The 25,149-nt window shown below is 37.3% G+C and overlaps 1 protein-coding gene and 1 non-coding gene across 7 annotated transcripts in view, besides 1 other annotated feature; both read right to left on the reverse strand.

Moving 5' to 3' along the window:
• TRPC6 (transient receptor potential cation channel subfamily C member 6) overlaps window positions 1-25,149 on the reverse strand; it is a 132,444-nt gene that overhangs the window by 47,196 nt on the left and 60,099 nt on the right. For 5 of the 6 annotated variants that reach the window (XM_047427509.1, NM_001439335.1, NM_004621.6 and 2 more), the window contains exon 2: window positions 5,265-6,039. In XM_047427509.1, coding sequence (XP_047283465.1) covers window positions 5,265-5,951 — 687 coding nt within the window. In that variant the 5' untranslated portion in view covers window positions 5,952-6,039. Of the gene's footprint in view, window positions 1-5,264; window positions 6,040-11,925; window positions 12,124-25,149 lie in introns of those variants that run through there. The other variant, XM_011542968.4, reaches the window with a different exon arrangement.
• Window positions 15,373-15,898: an enhancer, noted in NCBI's record as "NANOG hESC enhancer chr11:101384863-101385388 (GRCh37/hg19 assembly coordinates)". NCBI's record gives its function as "activates a minimal SCP1, AML or CMV promoter by ChIP-STARR-seq in primed H9 embryonic stem cells {active_cell/tissue: H9 hESC(primed)}" and the evidence as "EXISTENCE:reporter gene assay evidence [ECO:0000049][PMID:30033119]".
• MIR3920 (microRNA 3920) lies at window positions 21,061-21,146 on the reverse strand. The gene has a single exon (NR_037485.1). It is a non-coding gene; the product is annotated as a microRNA 3920 (primary transcript).

Consider the following 25,149-nt stretch of genomic DNA (forward strand, 5'->3'; position numbering starts at 1 on the left):
AGGGAATCAATTTGCAGATCTCCACTTTCCTAAAATGGATTTCCTTGAAAATACATCTTTTGCTCGCCCACCCACCCATGTAGCAAGCAAGAGAGAGTCCCCCTTTAAACAACAGAGAGTCCCCCTTTTACAGTATCCAGCTACTATAAACCCTGAAGGGCTTCCCTGAATAAATACACATTTCTGCTGAAGATGAAGCTTAATGATAGAAATGCAGCACCTTGGCTCATGTTGGGATGTTCTGATTTCAGATGGACAGTGCAGGGTGGAGACAGAAACAAGGGCCATTTTTTATGACTTTGCCTCTTCATTTGCCAACAATTGTCAAAGAATGAACGCTTCTTGAGTGAGAGTCCAGAAAAAGTTAAGCAAAGACAGCATCAGCAGGGAATACTGAATACCAAACAATGCTTTGTCATGTATTGAAATGTAAATGATTCCTTATATTATTCTTAATATCTTTCAGATGTATCATTCACTAGAAAAGTATCTCAAACAGGCAAGGCAGAAAAGCTTAGTGAGAGTGATTCTTTTAAATGTGACTTGGAATGGTTTGCAGAACTCAAAATTTTTACAGGAAAATGGTCAAAGCCCATGGATGAAATTTTATGTGATTTCTTTCTGATTTAGAATTTTAATCTAGTAAGATAGTTATCAAATCATATCTAGAAATATTTATTCCTACTACTATTTATCCTTTTTTAATTTTATTCCATAAAACCTTTAATAATTTATATATCCTATCAACAAAGACTAAAATAACATACTGGCTGCCATACCAACTAATTTTTAGCTACATATATATACATAAATGGTGTATATATACGTATATATATACGTATATATGGTATATATATATACACACACAATATAAAATGTGTATATATATATATACACAATATAAAATGTGTATATATATATACACAATATAAAATGTGTATATATATATACACATTTTATATTGTGTATATGTGTATATATATATACACAATATATAATGTGTATATATATATATACACAGTATAAAATGTGTATATATATATACACAGTATAAAATGTGTATATATATATACACAGTATAAAATGTGTATATATATATACACAGTATAAAATGTGTATATATATACACAGTATAAAATGTGTATATATATACACAGTATAAAATGTGTATATATATACACAGTATAAAATGTGTATATATATACACAGTATAAAATGTGTATATATGTATACACAGTATAAAATGTGTATATATATACGCAATATAAAATGTGTATATATATACAATATAAAATATGTGTGTGTGTATATATATATATACACACACACAATTTTTCTTTCCTTAAATATATAGCCAAAGTGTGAACATGATGAGTACCACTAAAAAATACATCCAATAAGAATTGTGTCACATAGTTAAAATTTATTTTTCAAAATGTGTATTTTTTTTCTTTCTTTTTTTTTTTTGAGACGGAGTCTTGTTCTGTTGCCCAGACTGGAGTGCGGTGGCGCAATCTCAGTTCGCTGCAACCTCCGCCTCCCAGGTTCAAGTGATTATCCTGCCTCAGCCTCCTGCGTAGCTGGGATTACAGGTGTGTGCCATCATGCCCAGCTAATTTTTTTGTATTTTTAGTAGAGACAGGTTTCACCATGTTGGTCAGACTGGTCTCAAACTCCTGACCTCATGATCCACCCACCTCGGCCTCCCAAAGTGCAGGGATTCCAGGTGTGAGCCACCATTCTCGGCCCATATTAATTATTTTTAACAGCTGGGTTGATTTTTGTAGTTTTTGATCTAATATACTAATAATAGATATAAAGACAACTCTTTCCAGAGTATTTTCAATATCCAGAGCCTTTTAGCAAGAGGAAATGAAACAAATTCTAAAATTTCATATATATGTGTGTGTTATATGTATTTTATTTATATATGATATACATGTTGATATCTATATAAAGGGATTTTAAGAGACTTTACAATAATAAAAGCTATAATATGAGGAATCACATTTATGAAGGAAATTGGACTGAAAATATAACCTCAAGGAGTAAAAGGAAAGATGCAGCTATTCTGAACATTAAAGAAGATGTTGTTCGCTTAGTTGATGGTGGGCATGAAATCATTACAGCATTTAGAGTCCTTTGCATATATCTGAAGGAGAATTGAAGAGTTCTATTCTTAAATGGCAATATGTACACCATGCAGAAATCATATCCCTTAAAAATATTTATACTCACAGAAGACAAAAAATAGGTATCAATTTTAAACTGTGTGAATGAACACAGTTTTTCAAACATCTTTCAGATGGAAAGGGAGCAAAATACATACATACATACATACATACATACATACATACATACATACATACATACCATGAACAGGGAGGATCTCCTGTGGCCAATACAATCTCTCAGGTCCCTGTGAGGCTGACCAGGCCTAAGCTATCCAGCCCTCAGTGACTTTTATTTCCTGAGACTCTAAGGGAGTTGACTATTTAAAAAGATTTTAAAAAAAAAGACTGAAAGGATATGTGCTAGCATGTTGGTAGTGTATCAGTGTTTATTTCTTGATGGCTAAAATTAGGAATGATTTTTTAAACTTCCTTCATTTTTATATTATTTTTTTCTAACATGGCTATATATTACTTTAAAGTAAGAAAAAAGAAGTTATTTTTAAGGGTAGAAGCAGCAAACTCAGCAGCAAACCTCACCTCAGAGACACCAACTTCTCTATTCCTGTAAGGTCCCACTCTGCTGTAAACTGAGACTGGGATGCTGGGACAAGAGTTAGTGTCCCAGTAGCCATGGGTGGTGGGGGAATGTTATTTCCCTGTGAGTTTACACACAAAGGCAAGGGAGGCTCACCCTTGTATGGCAGTTCTTTCATCTGCTGTCCAAACTAATCTCAGAGAAAAAGAATATTTGTTTTAATGCTTGATACCTGGCAAGGAAGAAATCTTTTCTGGTTTGTTTTTGTAAAAAGGCCTTAAAAATCAAGCCAGTAACTGCCCTTTCTCCTTGTGCAGTAATTTTGAGTTAGGTTTCTAATTATAAAAATTGTCAAGTTCTAGGATATACTTTATAAAAGCATTTTTTAAACTGCTACTCTTGTTTAACAGTAATCTAATTTTTGAAAGTGATTTTTAAAAGACATTAGTAACATACTCCTAAATACATTTATGTTTTCAGTTAGATTTATCCTTTCTTTGCCTTGAAACCTTCATAGAGGCAGGGCATTAGCAAAAAGGTATGCATGTCCAGAGGCTCTAGGTAACTGCTCAAGACAATGGAGCAAATAGGGAAGCACAAATGGGCGGAAAGTGGCTAATCCATACACTTCACACTGATGACAGCAGAAAGAAGGGTGTGATGAACAAACAGAAGAATGTCCAGATCTTTACGTCTTCATCATCGTGTGGAGGCCTCAACATTTTGCAATGCATTTAGGGACCATGAAGAATTTACATCCTGGTTAAATGTGATTCTTCCCACCTTTCAGCCACTAGCCCCCTCCTCACTCCATAAGGTCATGCCTAATATGATAGTTACTACACACAGATCTTTTCTATCACATTGGATTATAAACCAATTGAGGACAGGATTGCTGACTGAATTGTCTTTGTATTTTGTACTACCTCGCCATCCTCATCCTCAACTGTCCCCAGTAAAAAAGAGCAGGGACTCCAAAGATGTAGGCCAGTGAATTAATGAACAAATAAAGAATATAATAGTCTTCAGTGGTTTAGAGAAAGCATGTAAACAAGGATACAGTAAAGGAAACAGAAATGTTGAAATTAGGCAAAATTAGTAATATAGATTTTGAAAATAATTAATATTAATCAGAGTTCAAAATGCTTTAATTTGAATCAGGTGAAAGTCTCTGTGTCCTAGGAGTCAAGCGAAAAGTAGGTAAGAATCTGAGACAGGGTTAGAAGGACCATTTACTTGTCTTGCCCTGTTAGCTGCCAGGTAGCTGGAGGAAAAGCACCTTCCTCTACCTTGGGAGCCAAGCACATACTGAGCGTTTCAGTAACCATTTTCCTCCTTCTAGCCTTTCTGGATAGACTGGACCTGAGGATAGATAGACACATGACATCTGATACTGGGGTGAAACATCAGTGACAGTGGCACCAAGAAGCTGCCCAGGAAAGACTGGGCTGTAATCCCTCAAGAAAAGAGTATAGAAACAAGCATTCTCTCAGCATATAGAAAAAAAATGAAACCAATATTCACTTCTGTAAAACATTGTACTTGATGAATCAAACCTGTTTCCAACCTGCATTATTTAGTAAAGGAGATAAGTGCATCATAAATAACAATAATCCATGGTAAAAGGTGATGGGCATTAGAGGATCAGAACTACCTCAAACAGGTAGAGGGAGTTTAGAGATACCTGTGGGGAAGATCTTAGCTAGGGATGCAAGCTTTCATCCTCTCCACGTGGAGCACAGCCCTTATGGTTAATGGCAGCATCTGACACCATTTATCTCTCCAGATACCTCTTATTAAGAGATTGACTGGTCAAAGTTCTAATTTCCTACTATTTCATATCTATCATGTTTTGTTTTTGCTGGTACACCTTGGCCTAAAATATCTTTTCCCTCATTCTCTGCCTTCCAAAATCCTACTTGTTCCACCATATACAGCTGAAATGCCATCTTACACATACTTCCCTGCAGCCTAACAGGAATTAAATATTGTTTTCTCTGAACTTCTACAGTATGTTGCTTTTACCTCTACCTGGTAGTTTTGTTTATTTTTTATTCATGTGTGCATTTGTCTCTCTAGTCAACTGTGACTTCCTTAAGCTTATTCTTCTTTCTGACCTCAACAGCATCTATCACTGTGCTCTGAACATGGAAATAGTGTTTCGTGGGAGGAAAAAGCCTGGGCTTTTCAGAGTGCAGTATACCTGGATTCTGAACCCAGCTGTGTTATTTCCCATTTGTTGATATTGGGCATTAGCGAAACTTTCTATGCCTTCATTTACCCATCTAGACAGGAACTAATAATAGCTTCTCAAGGGGAACGGATAAAGATTAGATATAATAAATGCAAAATGTCTGGCAGACAGTAGAGCATCACTAAATGGTAGCGATCACAACTTTTGCTACAATGATTATAATAAAGAGCTTGTTGAATAAACTTATAAAATGACCTAGTGTCCACAGTAACTAGCACAGTGCTGAGCACATGGGGGAAGCTGGTAAATACACCTTGACTCTGGCTTGTGGAGGGTGAAGTCTCTATTGTTAGTGACCTACCTTGAACTCTTTCTCAATATTGGCCAGAACTGCCAGTTCATTGCTAAGTTCTAAAGCCGTCATGACTGGATCTTCACTAGACAATGACAGGTAAGCCGGACTTGCCAGGCCTTTATAGGCATTAATCCTAGATCTGGAGTGGCTAAACGAGTCATGCTTCTGTTTCTGGTTGCAGTCATTGCACTTGCAGAAATAATCATGAGGCCGTTCAATCCTAGCACCCTTCCGCAGGAGGGTATGCACAATTTCATATTCCTGGCAGTGGGCAGCCAGAATGATTGGAGTCACATCATGGGAGAACCGTGTCCCATCTTCATCATAGGCATAAAAATCATCTTGCTGGAGTTCAGACTGGCTAGGGCTGGTTGCTAACCTCTTGCCTTCAGCAAAAGCCGGATGACTGAGAATTGCTTCCACAATCCGAACATAACCTTTACTAATAGCTAGAAGCAAAGCATCCCCAACTCGAGAGAGGTTTTCTTTCTTGAGAAGAAGTTCTGTAATTTCCAGATGCTCATTGGCCACTGCCAACTGTAGGGCATTCTGGCCCATGTAATCCACACAGTTAACGTTGAGTGAGTGGCATTCTTCTAACATCTTCCGCACCACTGGGATGTTACCATATTCAGCTGCATCCAAAAAGCGTTCCTCCTCTATAGATAGGCTTGTGGAGCGATCACTAAACATGTATGCTGGTCCTCGATTAGCTAACCTTCTCCCCTTCTCACGGAGAACTGTCTGCCGCCGGTGAGCCAGTCTGTTGTCAGATCCCCGGCTGCAATAAAACAGAAAGATTGTAAACAAATCACATTAAGAGCATTTTAGTGTGCCAAATGACTTGCCATTCATCTAATACAATCCTCAAGTATATTAGATGTTGTCTCATCATCTCTAGACCTACTATATTATAAAATGAAGATGCATTTATTTGTTAATGGATTCCAAGAACTTCACGTCTAAGAAAGCCAAGCACTTTGCAGATTTTAACATTCCCATTTGGGGTGGAGACTAGCAATTGCCATAATTACTCTGTGCCATTCAGATAGAAACTAATGTACTATATAGATGGTATAGACTTAGGAAAGATGTCTATATCCATACCCTCTTATCCATATGCAGTCACAATGTGATAGAGAATATAAGACTACATTTTAAGAAGTAGAGACAATAGCAAATCCACTCAAGTTAACAAATATTTATTGAGTCCCTCTGATGCCAGGTCTAGGAACTATATTCGGTCCAAGAAGGCCAATAGTGAAAAAACAAATAGATGCTTTTTCCTGCCTCTACAAGTCTTATAGACCAAAGAGAGAGATGGGCAATCAGCATACTGCTTTGTTATCAGCTGCTTAATTATAATGATAAGCCTATAATGGGGCATCTATCCCAGATTCTGAGAGAAAATGACAAGCTGAAAATGGAAGGATAAGTAGAAGTCAGGTGAGAGTGTACTTCAGGAGGGTGAGACAGGGGTTAGGTATAGGTAGAAAGTTTTCTCTAGCAGAGGTATCGGCTAGATGTTAGAGTATAGGTTTCATTAATATGGGCAATAAATGCTTGAACTCTGCTGTCCTAAAAATCACTGCAGACTGGAGAAAATTATAATCAAGTTGTCAGGTAGGAAAAAACACTTCTATGGTGCAGGCAGTGGTCAGAGCAGTGGCCAGCCTTCAACGTAGTCCTTCAATCTGTGATAAGAAGGGAAAGTGAGCCGGGTGCTATGGCTCACGCCTATAATCCCAGGACCTTGCAGGGCCAAGGTGGGCGAATCACTTGCCCAGGAAGTCAAGACTAGCTTGGACAACATGGCAAAACCCCATCTCTGCAAATAATAGAAAAATTAGTGGTGCATGGTGGCACATGCCTGTAGTCCCAGCTACTCAGGAGGCTGAGGTAGAGTATCAATTGAACCCAGGAGATCAAGGCTGCAGAGAGCCATGACTATGCCTCTGCACTCCAGCCTGGGTGATAGAACAAGATCCTATATCAAAGAAAAAAAAAAAAAAAAAGGAAGGGGGCTGTGATTCTTCCTCTGATCAAAATGCTATAATGAAGATTTTTTCGTTATTAATTCATAACTTCGTGTCTTAAGGTCTTTTGAGCTTCAAGGGATCTCATTACAATTAGAGGTTCAACTCTTACCAGTATCACTAACTGAACCCAAAGAAGGCATGTTTTTGCAGAACTGGAACAGGGCCAGGTTATAGGGGAGGCTAAAGAGGCATCCCTCTTTAAAAACGGTCACAAACTTCCCAGTATAAAGAGGACAATAAAAAGATCCAAGGGCCTCATAAGCTATCTTTCCCTCCAATATGTTCAGGTCTGGAGAATCTTAGTTGCTTTCCCTACTGGCCTTTATCAGTCTTGATTCCACATCTCCAGACAGTGCTGTCTGTGGCAGTGTGATGGACAGGAATAGAAAGGAAGATAGTAAAGTTTCAGCAACTCACAAACAGATTTTGCTTCTTGGAGGAGCTTGAAGAGTATACCACCATATTGACAAATATTTTTCATAGATTTTCATTCAACAGTGATTCCTTTAACTATCCAAGTCCTATTCAAAATCAACCAAACTGATGTTTTTTTCAAAGAGACAACTTTGTAAGTTTCGAAAATGACATGAAGGGCCGATATCAAGTTATACAACCTAATAATTTCTAAAATGGGTCATTAGATAATACATATGCAACTTTTATTATAAGAGAATAGCATCTGTAACTATTTTGTCCCATAGCTATTACTTTGTTTTTAATTCCATTTTTAATTTTAGTAAAGTTATACATGTGCATATTTTAGTTTATTCTATGTCTTGATCTCCAGAGGTGATACATTTCAATTTAACTATTTTAGCTGGTTATTTTATAATTTTAAATGTTATAACCACATAGCTTTGGTTATATTGTTACTTCTTGATTTTTCAGGTTTGGCATTACCTATGGACTTCCCATTACACCATACCTTCACGTATCTCTCTCTCTCTCTAACACACACACACACACACACACACACACACACACACACACACACAGACCCCCTTCATGGTCCCTTATCATTCCAGAATTGTTATATCATGACTTTTTTTTAGATAACTATTTACTGTTTAAAACATGACAATGCAAGTGCTAATCATAGCTAAGTGGTATACTATAGTGTCTTTTCAGGTACAGCTTCCCTATAACCTTAAACCTAATAGATAAAAATTCTCTTCATTTTCTCAGTGCTCTATATACATATGACTAATTCAATCAAACTCTCTTCTCCATCAATATAAGTCTTATTTTAATACATTCTACATATTAAGTGGGTATTTTTTTTTTTCAATTTTGGAAAATCTAGACAGCAGTTGCTGTCTAGACTTGATGCATGTATGTTCTCTTTGAATCTTCCTTTGGTATCATTCCAAGGATTCTCTTCACTTTGCTTTTGTATTGGGGTCCTTGTTTTCTGTATCCCAGATCTTCTTTTATCTGAGTTGACTTCTTTGTTCTAGTACAGCACATCTTCCAACAGCTGTCTAATAAAGCATGCATAGGTGAATTTTTAAAGAACGTGTACATCTAAAACTGACTTTGTCCTACCTCTAAACTTAACTGATAGTTTGGCTGGGTAGAGAATTCAAGGTTGAGGATAATTTTGGAGGCCTTGCTCTAATAAATTATAGTTTTGTGGCTACTATTGAGAAGCATGATGCAATTTTGATTCTGGATATTGTCTTTGTCTCTGGTGTCCTAAAATTACATGGTTGTTTATTGAAGGGAGTCTCTTCTCCACAGTGCTGCCCATTTAATCTGGAATAAAAAGTGTCCTTTTCTTAGAAATAGTCTTGCCCTATTTATCTGATCATTTTGTTTTCTGCTTTCAATGTACCATTTCTGGAACTCCTTCTTTTTGATGTTGGACATCCTGTAATTGTCCTTTAATTTTCTTATCTTTTCTATTTCCAATTATTTATGTTCAATATTATTTATTATATTCTGGGAAATTTCTTCAACTTTAGATTATATCTATGAAAATTGCTATTATATTTTTAATTTTCAAAAACACCCTTTATTTTCAAATGTTACTTTTTATAAGACTTTTCTGCTTTTAAAGGCACAAACATTTTTTCTTCTCTCTCTGGGGATGTTAAAGATTGCACACATCACAATTTAGAGAACTTACTCCTGAGTTGCTTTTTTATGTTTGTTTGCTTTGGTCTCTGTATTTCATAGTAGAATTTTTCCTCGTATAGCTAGTGATTCTTAGTAGATATTCTTTGCTTCTTTTTAAAGAAATATTCCTTATAATGTCTTTTCTAAGAGAGTATAATTTCCCCTTATAAAAACTAGAGTGAGCCTAATGTTGGTTTTGGCAAAAGGTGATGTCTGAGTTACGGTGAGTTTCTAGAAGAATCACATTATTTCTGAGTTAACAAGATGGATGAGGTAGAAGAGACAGGAGATCATCAAGGTTTGTTACATGAGGAAACATCATCTTCCTACTGAAATTCTTAACCCTCTTCCCTTCTCTCTGTCACTTTTCTGGCTTCTACTAACCTCTTTAGGCTTTCACTTCCTCTCTCTTATCTTCTGTATTTATTGCTTTGCGTAGTTTCTATTGTAGACAAGAGGAAGTTCAAAGATTAGGGGGAGAGACAGTATCTTCCAAACATGAAGAATGCTTTGAAAAAGAAAAACTGTAAATTTAAGGGAGAAACAAAATAGGATCAGGGATCTATAAAAGTAAGATGAAAGTACTGGGAGTGAGAACTTGCAAGATAAGTTCTCATGTAACTAAAAAAATGACACAAAACTGACACAAAATAGTAACATATCAAAACATCAAGAACAAGCTCCATTTTTTTTCATCCATTAAAATGGGAGAAATAATTATTCTGACCTATCTCAAAGGACTACTTTCAGAGGTAATTGAAATTATGAATGTGGAAAGCATTTTAGGTTGGATTTAAATTTTTTTACAGCCACATCCATAATAATAAGCACATATATAGCACTTATAAAAATAAGAAGGACACTTGGACTTCATCATTTTTCAGCTGTTATGCAATAAGAAGACCCATGAAAAAAAGGCAAGGACTGAGATGGTAATTGATGTAAGTTGTTTTGTCTTTTTCTTTTTTTTTTGAGACAGGATCTCGTTCTGTTGCCTTACTATAGCCGCAACCTCCCAGACTCAATCAATCCTCCTTCCTCAGCCTCCTGTGTAGCTGGGACTAAAGGCACATGCTACCTCACCCAGTTAATTTTTGTATTTTTTTTATAGATGGGGTCTCGCCATATTGCCCAGGCTGGTATCAAACTCGTGGGCTCAAGTATCCTCCCACCTCAGCCTCCCAACATACTGGGATTACAGGTATGAGCCACCACACCTGCCCTTTGTTTGTCTTTTTAAAGAAAGAAAAATAAGAATTAGCAACTTTACTTGTATCTCAATTTTTAATCTGGTTTACAAAATTTTATTTTTTCATCCAATACTAAGTTTACATTGAGCTAAATAGAATGTCTGAGTTGTGACATCTTTTATTCTAAGATTTTAAAATAACAATCTATGACTTTCCTGCCCATTTATTTGAAAAATGACAAGTTCTATCTTGGCAAGCCACTAATCATAATGATGTATCTTATTTCCTTCTAAATTACTGTGGCTTTTGTACCTATAACTTCTTGAAGGAACAGCAAAGATATTTCCGTAGAATTTTTTTTTTCAGTTTTAAAGCATCTTCTGTCTTAGTTGTTGTGACCACACATATTAATCATATGCAATGATATAATTTTTAGATACATTTTTATAAAAAGGCCTAGATTATCATAATCTGTTTAGCACTCTGTCAACTATATATGAGTCTGTGACAGAATTACAACTTGGTCATTCTGTATCTGAAAAGTCAGAATGTATCTGATACATTTTTGTTTGTTTTTGATTACTTTAGGAATATTACAACAGCAGGCACAATGAATTTTTATTGTTTTAGGCATATTACAAATGCAGGCCCAATGGATTCAGCACCCCTTGCATGAGTAGTAAGACACAGTAAAAGCTGCTTGTATGTTGTTGACAGAACAAAACGCATGCTTTGCTGCTCTCCTTATCTTTCTTAACTGCAGCCTGGAGAAGCAATAAAAGATTCTACTTGTATTTTTATGTCACAAGTGGTGTTGCTTACTCCCTGCCTCTCCTATGCAAAAGCAAAATGTGTAAAACAACTTTTTAAGTAACAGATATTTGAAAGCAATTCAGGAAAGATACTAGATGTTACTAGATTATATTACAAACCTCTCTGCAAATGGTTTTTATAAAACTATGTTGTAGAATTTTACATTAATAGCAAATGAAACCTAGCAAAATCATCTGTTAAAAAGAGGAACAACTCAGCCCATAGCTCCATAGCACTACTTCAACAAAAGACATTTTCATTTCAGCTAAAGGGCACACTTTTCAAATTCGGCTCTTCTATTTATGAAAATATTTATTAAGAAATTTTCTTCACCCATTTAGCCACATTTAGCATGGTTAAAAGATTAGTAACCTACATTTTCATGTCTGTATTTTTACAAGGTGTTTATCACAACATATAAATACTGGTTCTAAGAAAGAGTAATTAGCCACCACCCCTATGGCACTCAAATGTAGATTAGGTCATGAAAACCATGTTTTTACATACCTCATTTTCCTGGTCCTTTTAGTATTTGTTGCCCCAGATAGTGAGAGATGGAATAATCCATCTCTATTGAAAATGCCAGCAATGCAAATTAGCTTCTGAGTAGAGTGGATTGCATGCTAGAGTCCACAGCATGTGTAGTAATTCTCTCTACTTCCTGTTCAACTATGATACACTTTTATAACATGGAACTGCTTTTATACAAACTAAGCTCCATATTAAGTTCTTAGCTTAACTTTGACTTTGTGCTTTAAAAATCCTTACAAATATTTTAAAGCGCAATTCTATTACAGCAGAAGTTCTAAAATTGTAAATGGAATGTAACTATTCCAGGCAGTGTAGTCAGCCGTAAGCGTAATGTAGATTCATCCTAGGAAAGTAGAAATAAAAGAAATTCCAGAATTTGCATTTTATTACATGCACAATTATCAATGGGAATAATTAGACTCAGATATTTAGAGATTAACATTATACACAACTAGCAAGTTTGCAAACCACTTTAGGGAGATGAATGAAAGAAGTCATTTGTTCTCATTTTACAACACTGACACTGTTTTTGCCCTGACTACTTAATCTCTGGGCACATACCCTATGCTCTTCCTCTGGGGTTGAGGAAGCAATAAACAATTAAAGTGGTTTTCCTTAGTCCTATGAGAGCAATGATGATTTTGCCTTATTCACACTGAATTCACCCCTCTTTGCAGAGGGACACATTGTAAACTCTCAGTACATAACTGGAATACATTAATCCCTCCCGTTAAAGGAATAAAGTTTAGAGCTTGTTTGTTCCCTATTAACCTGACTGCAAACGACTACAATGTACAACCCTACACAGAAAAAAAGGAACAAAATATAAAGGTTGAGCCACAGTGTGTTCTAGTGTAAATATAATATTTTATATTCATTTCAAATAAGTAGTGAGCTCAACAGGGGACAAAGGAAGTTGAAAGCCGTGTTTTTAATGGCATCCTTGTGACTTGTTCATGATCCAGAAGCAGAGATTTTCTTGACTTTAAAGATGGAACTAGGGCCAGGTGCGGTGGCTCACGCCTGTAATCCCAGCACTCTGGGAGGCCTAGGTGGGTGGATCACCTGAGGTCAGGAGTTTGAGATCGGCCTGGCCAACATGGTGAAACCCTGTCTCTACTAAAAAATACAAAAATTAGCCAGGCATGGTGGTGGGGGCCTGTAATCCCAGCTACTTGGGAGGCTGAGGCGAGAGAATAGCTTGAATCCAGGAGGCAGAGGTTGCAGTGAGCCGAGATCACGCCACTGCACTCCAGCCTGGGCGACAGAGCAAGACTCAGTCTCAAAAAACAAAACAAATAAAAATAAAAATAAAGGCAAAACTAATATTTTCTCACCCTGTTCTCTCTCCCTCTTGTTTAGAGGGTGAGAGAGTGAGCACCCATCTTCACAGTGAACTCCCAAATCCCTTGAACTTCCAGATAGTCTTCTAGATAGCAATTCTTCATTTTGATTCAATTAGTTTCAATTCTCCTCACGAACTCTTCTCATTTCTTCAAATACTAACTTTCTGTTTGATCAGTCACACTACATCACACCCTGCCTTAGTATTCTATGAATGAAATGGTAAGAGCCTGAGCTACTTGTCACTTTCAGTTGGGAGCCAGCAAAAGTGTGACTGAAAAATCTCAGGTGCATGTAACAAATTTTTGGTCATCATTTCATTTGTATCATCATTTCATTTGTATCATCAATTGACATCTTGTTTGTGTAAATTAGAACTCAAACTGTGTGAGAGAATGAAATTGTGAGTAAATAACGGAAGTTATAGGAACTTGCCTTTTTATAAAACAACATCTGACATGTCATTGTTCCCTTTTAGTTTCTCCTTGGTGGTTTAATTTATTTCATGTGTCATGTCTTCCTACTTTGAAATGCTCTTTGGAAGAGTTCTGGGGCCAGACATTTATGGTGAGAATAATTAAGGACAAGTTGAGGGAAACTGAGAACTGAGTCCTTGGGGATCTGAACTTGAGAAAACTTTGGGGAACTTCGCAAAATATTTGGAAGAACAAAGCTTTAAGAACAAAATAGAGTACTCTTGGGAATATTAAAAAGTTTCTTTGTAATACCAGCAAACTATATCCAAATTATCTCATCAAAGAAGAGGTTTAAATTCTTTGCTTCTATTACCAATGACTGCCATAATCATGTGTATTACACAAGCACATTTTCCAATTCCTCTGCATAAGATAGATTCTGGGGAGGAAAAAACACACTTCAATTATAAGACAATCTGAAAAAACTTAATGAAGGAACTCTAGGAGTATGTGTGCAGAAGTTAGGGAAATCCAACATGGCACCATGAAGTGCCCACATCTAGGACAATGTAGGCTTAAGTCTGAAGGGGCATAATGAGGGAACAGTTACCAGAACAGGATAACCATAAGACAAGGGACACCTGACAGTGGCCCTGACCTTTTATGAAGGGTGACAGCCCACCATCAAGGAGAGAGCCAAGGGAACTGATACTCTGACCTCACTCTCCTGCCCTCTGATGTCCCACAAGTGCCTCTGATGGGCTGAACTCAGACTAGTGCTGGGGGACAAAGAAGCCCATTGATGCAGTCCACACAGGTCTGCATTGGTGCTATTCCACAGTCAGTGAACAGTATGCAAAACATGAAGAGTAGGCCAGGATGACCAAGCCAACAACACCCAGCATATGCTCTAGATACAATAATTTGACTTTGCCATAATTAACTCCTTGCTCGGGTGATGGGTGCACTAAAATCTCGGAAATCATCACTAAAGAACTTATACATGTAAAACACAACCTGTTCCCAAAAAAACCTACTGAAATAATTTTTAAAAGATTTTAAACTACTAGAGAGAGAGAGAGGAAAAGAAATTACTGATGAAAACATATGCACCAAAAAAATGGTAAGTGTATTTTTGATGATGGGTAACCACGGCATCATCAGTTCACGCCTTTCTGAGCTTATTTTTCCCTTCTTTAAGCTGTCAAGAAAGACACCCACATTCAAGTTCATGCAGTCCATTATCTTAAAAAATTAACTTGTAACTAAGATTCATCCATAGAAATTCTAAGTTGATGTTCATATGAGGCTTAGGATGAACAACTCTTATGTGGAGGGGGAGAACAAGGATAATCTGATGTCATAGAAACATTCAAAATGTGAAGAGCACAAGCTGAAGCTGCTGATTCCCAGAGATAATGGTGCTGAAGAAAGACTTTGATAATAGGTCTGGAACATGCTCTAACTCTCCACAATGGGGGATAGCTCCAAATGCTCACAGTACAGGTTTCACTCTATATGTGACTGCTATGTGTAACAGAGTACATGGATAGGGAAATTGGCAGGACCATGCAGCACATAGCTTTCATTTATTGAAACCAAAATTGTGAAATGCTTTTCTTTGCTGATGTGATATGATTTCAGACATCATTATCAACCCTCACACCCACCACCACCACCGGGATCGTAACAGTTCATTCATTCATTCATTCATCAATTCAAATATTTACTGAACCTCAGCTTCAACATGTTCTAGGCACTGTGCTAGGCACATTGGGGGTACAGCCACAGAAAAATAAGGGTATGGCAGAAAAAAAGAGAATAAGCAAAAGACTACAGGGTGATGAATGTTACCAAAAAGGAAGTAGTGTGGCATATAAATGATTAGCGAACAGTTTTCAACCCAATCTGAAGGTCAGGGAAAGCCTTCTGAGGACATGTCACTTAGCCTAAGAATGAAGGAGAGTTAGCTGAGAGGAGGGAAGAGGAGACTCAGCCCGCAGGCAGAGAAAATCACAGTTGTTTAAGTCAGCAGCCCAGAAAAAACCCTGAAACATGTTTATTATGGCTGGAACACATAAGAGTTCCCATCCCCAACAGGATTTCTGGTTCCTGGCTCAATTTAACTAAAGGTCTAGCACTCAGGTTTAGAAGCTAAACATCCATTGATATTCACAGTTTAGCACTTAGCACTTCTACTGTAGGGCAGAAAGGTAAACATTAAGGTAATTCCTTAACAACTCAGGATTCCAATTTAGGAGATTCAAGCTTCAAAACTCGGAGACTGGAGTGCTGCCCCAAAAGGTTTTGTTCTGAAGGGTTTGGAGCTTATATAATTCAAGATCTCAAGTTGAGAATAACTGTGGACAAATTGAGGGAAACTGAGAACTGAGTCCTTAGGGACCTAAACTTGAGAAAACTTTGGGGGAACCTTGCAAAATATTTGGAAGAACAAAGCTTTAAAGAAAGACATGCTGAGTTGGGAATCCTTACTCTGTCAGTTACTACCTGTGTCATCCCTCTGAGCCTCGGATTCCTTAACTGTAAAAATGGAAAGGGAACAGCATCAAGGATAGCAGTTACCTGTTAGGGTTACTATGAAATTGGTGATTTGTGGAATTCTGCTTAAGGTAATTCAATGCCTCATCTGTCATGGACTTTAAATCCTTCTTAATCATAATTATTCAAGACTTTCCAGTTTGAAGATGTGCTGCTTAATAAAGGAGATAGAAACTAAGAAATCATTAAATGGCTTCTCTTCCTTTAATGCCAGCTGTTACATCTGCACCATGTGTCCAAAGAACACAGTTTGACCTCGTTTGTTTTTTTTGTTCGTTTGTTTTTTCCCTTGCTGTGATGTCAACATGGCCAAATGGGCATTATGTTTTTAATCTTCGGAATACTCTGTGCTTTGTTTTGCTGCCACTATTCTTGAAGTGTATTCTATTCTTATACCTTCATCTGTGACTATATATTTCCCTTTCCCTTCTTACCTATATTCTTTAAACCTGAACTTATCATTGAATTCCTGTGCCAAGCACAGAGCCAGACACAAAATGTTTTATGCATCTACAAATGAATAAAAAAGCAACATGAAAAGAAAAACGAATGGAGAGCACCCTAGTTTGTCACAGTTTTTAGGAGTTTCTCAAATTATTTTACTCCATTTCAAGAAACTTTTTAAAAATTAGAATTTCACAGTATTTTAAACAAATTTTTACTTGTCATAAAGTGAAATGTACTTATCCACCCTAAGTAAAAATGAAATATAGCAATTTGATGGAGTTTGATTTTGAGTATACTAATCATGTCAAGTAAATTATAAGTTTACTATATATTTAGCCCTGTTTCTCTAGCTTTATCAATAAAAATATTATATAAACTTGTAGGTACACATATATTAAATTAATTTCACTAAGGCTAGGAGGATGGAAATTGATATTTATTAAAAGTTTTTACTATGACCAAATAACTTTATAGGTGTTATTTTATTTAATTTTCACGGCATTTGGTGAGGTTGGCTTTGTTATTTCACTACATGAGGAAATGTTTGGAGATCACTCCTGAACAGGCATGGCATATATAAGGAAAAATGTTTGGGGGCTTTTGTTTTCTGAATTTCTTTTAAAATGCAGCTGGGAAAAAAAAAAAAAAGCAGAGTTTCAATATCCCCTCCCCAAAAACTGTGAAAATTTGTGGATTTCAACAATACCTAGGATTAGTTATGAACTGATTGATACATAGAAACTTCCCTCTTAAGTTCATGCTAGCAATGCATGGTAAGGCAAGACTGTAAACCTAGGTTTGCAGATGTCCTATTTCATTTCTTAAATCTTATTTTTTATTATTGTGACGCACACATGCTGAAAAGAACTACAATTTTAAGATTAATAACAAAATTAACACCATTTTCCTACCCATCCCCACTTAAGAATGTGATCGCTGATCATTTTAAAGACCTCTGTGTGCCTATTTAAATTACTATCTTCCCCTGAACCCCAACGACCAACCATTATCTGGTTTTTATGTTAAGCACTCTCTTATTTTTTATAGCTTTTCCATCTTTGCATGCCCTAAACAATACAAATTAGCTCAAAAAAAGTAAGTACTTAGCACAAACTTGGTAGAATAAGGAAGGGAAATACTGCCACTGCTATATTCTTAGAGGAAGGCTCCTAACATGAGATAAGCAGAGCAGAACCTGTGGTTCATTATCTGGCTCCAGCTTCCCTGAGAGTTTGCAAGAGCCCCTGTAGGTTGCTCAGGGGGTGACCATGAATTTCATCCTGGGAACGCAGGGTTCCTCAGAGCTGCAGCAGCTAGCCGAGTAGCCAGCAGGGCATCTGGCCATGCATCTGCTGCTGTCTACTCTCTTCTCTGCTATAAAAGAGCAGGTCAGAACACATTACCTCAGAGGCGAGAGAGGGCTCACCCTCACTGAACTCTTCCACATTGCCTTTAGGAGTAAGGCTGTCAATCAAGGTTTTTTGCCATGTTTCCCCTTTTGCCCACATTTTTTTAAAACCAATTTTACAAAAGCAAAACACTGAACTACGCTGAAAGCTACATAATATGAACAGCCAGTAGCTGGAAAGCTACCCATTATGTTGAACCAGAATGGAATTTGTCTATATCCATTTGCAGCTGTATTCAGTTTTCAGAGATGTGATCAATGTGCCTCTACTTACAATAGTATGTTCAAGCTATAAAAGTTATATGACTTCCCTAAAGGAAGGTGAAAAGGAAAACAAATTCAGTCAAACTAGTGAAGCCATTGCTTTGGTACACCATAAAGCAAATCTAGTTGACTAAAGCCCTGGTGTTTTGGTATAACATGAAAGAAAAGTTCTATTTTCCACGGACAAATTATTCTTATCTTACCCTTTTTCTCTTATGCTAAGAATGCTTGTTTTCAGTCTTTACAGATATAACTCAAACCATTTTTACTAATTGTCTTTTTATTCCTATGCTAGTAAATTTAAATTTGAGAACTCTGCCGAAGGCTCATGTTTCCTCTATGTATCCTACTCGGTGATTCTTTATTACTGCCATTAGTCACTGACTGAATGCTAGTTATTTAAGTGTTTGCATGCATGGAATACATTTCTGCATTACTTCCACTTTACCCACCAAAGTAATAATGATAGAACCACAAGTTTTAAGTTCCAGAAGGGTATTTAAAATTGTTTCAACCTTATCACTTTTCAAGTAACTGCTTTAAGTTTTTCTAGAGGAGGGAATATATAAAAATTATTAATTATATAGTTAATTTCTACCTGAAGAAACCAAGATACAAACTAACTTGCCCAATGTTAAACAGCTACTTAGAACCCTCAGCTGTTAGATCATTTTTATTCCAAAATGCTATTACCTAAAAACAAATGTTATTGAAAGGAAATTAGTTTCTGGTCCTGTTAAGGAGAATTTTCTTATGATGAAGATCCAGTTCAATAAACAACATATTGTTCTCTAGATATTCCCATAGCTGGTGTTAAATTTGTTCCCATTTATACTGTGGCCAATGAAAGCAGAAGAATTGGCCTAGATTAAAAAGTTGTTTGAGTCAATAATCCTCAGATCTTAGCTGGAGCTCAGAGTTGTGATATACTGGTATATCTGCTCATGAGATGTTATTGTGGAACTTAATCAATAGAATCAGCCAGATTTTTGCCACCATTTCAGTTGAAAGAAAAGCATCATTTGCCCTCTTTGGTCTTCTGTTTCCTTGCTTTTAAAGTAATCTCTCTTCTGCACAGCAAAGGACACAATCAATAAAGTAAAGAGACAACCCACAGAATCGAAGAAAATATTTGCAAACTGCCCCTCTGACAAGGGATTAATAACCAGAATATATAAAGTGCTCAAACAACCATACAGGAAAAAAAATTAATAATCTAATCGAAAAATAGGCATAATATTTGAATAGAAATTTCTCAAAAGAAGACATACAAATTGCAAACAGAAATATGAAAAGATGCTTAACATCATTGATCATCAGAGAAATGCCAATCAATACTACAATGAGATGTCATCTCACCCAAGTTAAAATGAATTATATCCAAAAGACAGGCAATAACAAATGCTGGTGAGGATGTGAAGAAAAGGAAACCCTTGTACAGTGTTGGTGGGAATGTAAATTGGTACTATGAAGAATAGTTTGGAGGTTCCTCAAAAAACTAAAAATTGAGCTGCCATATGATCCAGCAATCCCACTGCTGGGTATATACACAAAAGAAAGGAAATCAGTATATCAAAGAGGTAGCTGCACTCCCATGTTTGTTGCAGCACTGCTTACAACAGCTAAGATTTGGAAGCAACCTAAGTGTCCATCAACAAATGAATGGATGAAGAAAATGTGGTACTTATACGCAATGGAGGACTAGTTAGCCATAAAAAAGAATGAGATCCAGGCATTTGCAACAACATGGATGGAAGTGGAGATCATTATGTTAAGTGAAATAAGCCAGGTACGGAAAGACAAGCTTTGCATGTTCTCACTCATCTGTGGGAGCTAAAAATTAAAACAATTGAATTCATGGACACAGAGAGTAGAAGAATGGTTACCAGAGGCTGGGAAGGGTACTGAAGGTTTGGGACGAGTTGGGGATGGTTAAGGGTACAAAAAAGAAGAAAGAATGAGTAAGACCTACTATTTGATAGCACAATAGGTTAACCATAGTCAATAATGACTTAACTGTGTATTTAAAAATAATGTGAAGAATGTAATTGAATTGTTTGTAACTCAAAGGATAAATGCTTGAGGGGATGGATACCCCATTTTCCATGATGTGCTTATTTCACACTGCATGTCTGTATCAAAACATCTCCTGTACCCCATAAATATATACACCTATGTACCCACAAAAATTTTTAAAAATAATTTTAAAAAATCAAATAAGATAAATAAAGCAACCTCTAAGGACCCTTCCAGTTAATACAACATTTAATTCTATTTCTCTGTTTTAACTAAGTGGAATATTTACCTTCATTTTCCACCGCTTTGAGGACACAGACTAAGCTAAATAACCTAGTCAGGTGAGAACTTGGTGAAAACATGCTACAAAATGATGTTCTCTCCAATATCTGCTTCACCCATCTTGATCCTTATGTCAGCTAGTGGCACCCCAATTTTCTAGTTACTCAGAAAAAAAAATCATGGTGGTGTCCTGGGCTTCTTTCTTTCGTACTCCAAAACCATTTAATCAGGAAATCCTGCTTACTTTTCAAAATTCTGAGCTGTATCTCAAAATGTATCCAGAATCTGAACACCTCTTGCTACCACCCCAGTCCAGGCATCTAGATACTAGATCTAGATTCGATGACCTGAAAGGCCTGGCACAATCTGATCTTTACTGAGTGAGGGGGTCAGAGAGTTAAGATAATCAGTACAATCTCACCTGTACTAATTCTCTTAACTCTCTGACTCCCTCACTCAGTCTCTCTGCTCCAGCCACACTGATCTGCTTGCTCATCCTCTATGTACCAAGCTTGCTTGTGCTTTTGCACTTTTCTCTACCCTCTGCCTGGAAGCTCTTATCCTGATACCTGAGCACACACTCTCAATTCATTCAGGTATTTCTTTACTGAGAAGTCACTGATATGGTTTGGATTTGTGTCCCTGCCCAAATCTCATGTTGAATTGTAATCCCCAGTGTTGAGGAAGGGGCCTGGTGGGAGGTGATTAGATCATGGGGGTGGATTTTCCCCTTTCCATTCTCGTGACAGTGAGTGAGTTCTCATGAGATCTGGTTGTTTATAAGTGTGTCTCACCTCCCGCTTCACCCTCTTCCTCCTTCTCTGGCTATGTAAGAAGTTCCTGCTTCCCCTTCGCCTTCCACCACAATTGTAAGTTTCCTGAGGCCTCCTCAGCCGTGTTCCCTGTACAGCCTGCAGAACCTCTTTTCTTTATAAATTACTGAGTTTCAGGTAGTTCTTTAGAGCAATGTGAGAACAAACTAATATAGAAAATTGGTAACAGAGAAGTACAGCATTGCTATAAAGATACCTAAAACTGTAAAAGCAACTTTGGAACCAGGTAATGGACAGAGGTTGGAACAGTTTGGAGGGCTCAGAAGAAGACAGGAAGATAAGGAAAGGTTTAGAGCTTCCTAGAGACTTGTTAAATTGTTTTGGAGGGCTCAGAAGAAGACACGAAGATGAGGAAAGATTTGGAACCTCCTAGAGACTTGTTAAATTGTTGTGACCAAAATGCTGATAGTGATATGGACAATGAAGTCCAGGCTAAGGTGGTCTCAGATGGAGATGAGGAACTTATTGAGAACTGGAGTAAAGGTCACTTTTGCTATGCGTTTGCAAAGAGGTTGGAGTCACTGTGCCCTTGCCTTAGGGGACTGTGGAACTTTGACCTTCAGAGTGATGGATTTAGGGTATCTAATGGAAGAAATTTCTAAGCAGCAAAGCATTCAAGATGTAGCCTGGCAGCTTCTAACAGCATTTGCTCATATGCATGAGCAAAGGAATGATCTGAAACTGGAACTTATATTTAAAAGGGAGGCAGAGCATAAAACTTTGGAAAATTTGCAGCCTGACCCTGTGTAGAAAAGAAAAACCCATTTTTCAGGAGAGGAATTAAAGCTGGCTGCAGAAATTTGCATAAGTAAAGAGGAGCCAAATGTTAACAGCCAAGACAATGGGGAAAATGCTTCAAAGGCATTTCAGAGACCTTTGTGACAGCCCCTTCTATCGCAAGCCTGGAGGACTAGGAGGGAAGAATGGTTTCGTAGGCCAGGCCCAGGACCCAGCTTCCTTGTGCAACCTCAGGACACTGCTCCCTGTTTCCCAGCCACTCCAGCTCCAGCTGCGGCTGAAAGGGTCCCAGATATGTCTTAGGATGCTGCTCCAGAGGGTGCAAACCATAAGCCTTGGTGGCTTCCATGTCATGATAAGCCTGCAGGTGCACAGAGGCAAGAGTTGAGGCTTGGAAGCCTTTGTCTAGATTTCAGAGGATGTATGGAAACTATTCCATGTCCAGGCAGAAGTCTACTGCAGGGGCTGCGCCCTCATGAGGAACCTCTACTAGGACAGTGCTAAGGGGAAATGTGAGGTTGGAGCCCCCACACTGAGTCCCTACTGCAGCACTGCCTAGTGGAGCTGTGAGAAGACAGCCACTATCCTCCAGACCCCAGAATGGTAGATCCATTGACAGTTTGCACTGTGAACCTGGAAAAGCCACAGGCACTCAACACCAGCCCTTGAGAGCAGCCATGGGAACTAAACTTTGCTGAGCCATAGGGGCAAAGCTGCCCAAGGCCTTGGGAGCTCACCCCATGCATCAGTATGGTCTAAATGTAAGACATGGAGTTAAATGAGATTATTTTGGATCTTTAAGATTTAATAACTGCCCCGCTGGGTTTCAGACTTGTACAGGGCCTGTAACTCCTCCCTTTGGCTGATTTCTCCCCTTTGGAACAGATGTATTTACCCAATGCCTGTACCCCTGTCGCATCTTGGAAGTAAGTAACTTTTTGTTTACTTTACAGGCTCATAGGCTGAAGGGACTTGCCTTATCTCAGATGAGACTTTGAACTGTGGACTTTTGAGTTAATGCTGAAATTAGTTAAGACTTGGGGGACTATTAAGAAGGGATGACTGTGTTTTGCAATGTGAGAAGGACATGAGATTTGGGAGGGGCTAGGGGCAGAATAATATGGTTTGGATTTGTGTCTTCACTCAAATCTCATGTTGAATTGTAATGCCCAGTGTTGAAGAAAGGGCCTGGTAGGAGGTGATCAAATATGGGTATGGATATTCCCCTTACTATTCTCATGATAGTGAGTGAGTTCTCACAAGATCTGTTGTTTAAAAATGTATATCACCTCCCCCTTCACTCTCTTCCTCCTTCTCTGGTCATGTAAGATGTGCCTGCTTCGCCTTGCCTTCCACCATGATTGTAAGTTTCCTGAGGCCTCCCCAGCCATGCCTCCTGTACAGCCTGCAGAACTGTGAGTCAATTAAACCTCTTTTCTTTATAAATTACCCAGTCTTAGGTAGTTCTTTATAGCAATGTGAGAACAGACTAACACAGTCACCTTCTCACTAAGGCCTTCCCTGGTTATTATTTAAAAGTAAAATCTCAACCTCTAACATTCCAGGTTTACATTCCCTTCTTTATTTTTTTCATCTTATCACTAACATCTGTACATTTTACTTATTTATCTTGTTTATTGTTTGTCTCTTTCATAAGAATGTAGGTTCTATGAAAGCATTTATTTTCCCCCAAAATATTCCCAGTGCATAAAACAGGGCCTGCACCTGTTAGGTTCTCAGCACATATCTGTTGAATGCATGAAAGCATGCATAGAAATAACCTATGTATCTATGTCTGCAAGGAAATGTTAGGCATAGCTTCAGTGCCAGCATTACAATAGAATTATTTGAGAAAATCCATAAAATTTGTAAAGCTCTATCAGACTAAGCAGAAACAAAAATGATAGAAAACACAAATAGCCAATACCAAGAATGAGAGAGATGATACCATCACAGAGTCTAGAGATGTCAGGATTATAGTATATTGTGGACTAATTTATGCCTATACATTTGACAGCTTGAATGGGCAAAGGACTTTTAGATATGACACCAAAATTATGATCCCATGAATTTAAAAATTTGGCAAATTGGGCATCATCAAAACAAAGAACCCTTACTCTTCATGCTCTGATCTACCAAGGCACTTTTTTAGTATTCTTCAGATTTAAGGTAAACTGAGTCTTTCTGGCAGTGGTTTTAGACCAACCTGTGGCTGTTCACTAGCTGTCTTTACTTGTCCCAAAACAGGTCAGAGTGAAAGCAAGGAGCAGGAGGATGAGAGATCTGCATTAGGATTTAACAGAGTTTTTTCTTTTACTGGTCACAGTTATTTTGAAATTGGTGATTCTCTGTCTTCAAGTTATGCCATGGGCATGACACCTGTGAAGTTTTACTTCTCCTTTCTTAGTCTATATCATTTCTAAGATATATGAGAAAATGGAACTGAACAGTTGCCATTGTCTTCAACTATCTGTAATTTTCTCTTTCTTATAAAACATTTTAAATCAATAATAGCAGAAATAAAATATAGATTACACTAAACTTTGTAGACTAAATCTTGGAAGAAACCAATTTCAAACTTCACTGGAGAGTAAAAAAGCAAGAATTCCACATTTTCTCTTAGTTTAGACAGGAGTTCATTTCACAGATACTTATTGTTAGCTGAAATTGAATACAGCAAATTGAAAAAGACTAAACCATTTCAGTGGTTCTACATTTGAGATAAAATATATCCAATCTCTACTCAAATACTTTGCTTCACTTACAGTCATCATTTAATGCATGTACATACAAGTAGGAAACAAGGTTGTTTTAAAATTTTTCTATTATTGCAAAAAATGATTCAGAATGGAGATGGTGATTCATGTGAAATTTTCTGCTCTTTTCCCTGCCT

Source organism: Homo sapiens, chromosome 11, assembly GCF_000001405.40.
Source record: "Homo sapiens chromosome 11, GRCh38.p14 Primary Assembly".
Taxonomy (NCBI): domain Eukaryota; kingdom Metazoa; phylum Chordata; class Mammalia; order Primates; family Hominidae; genus Homo; species Homo sapiens.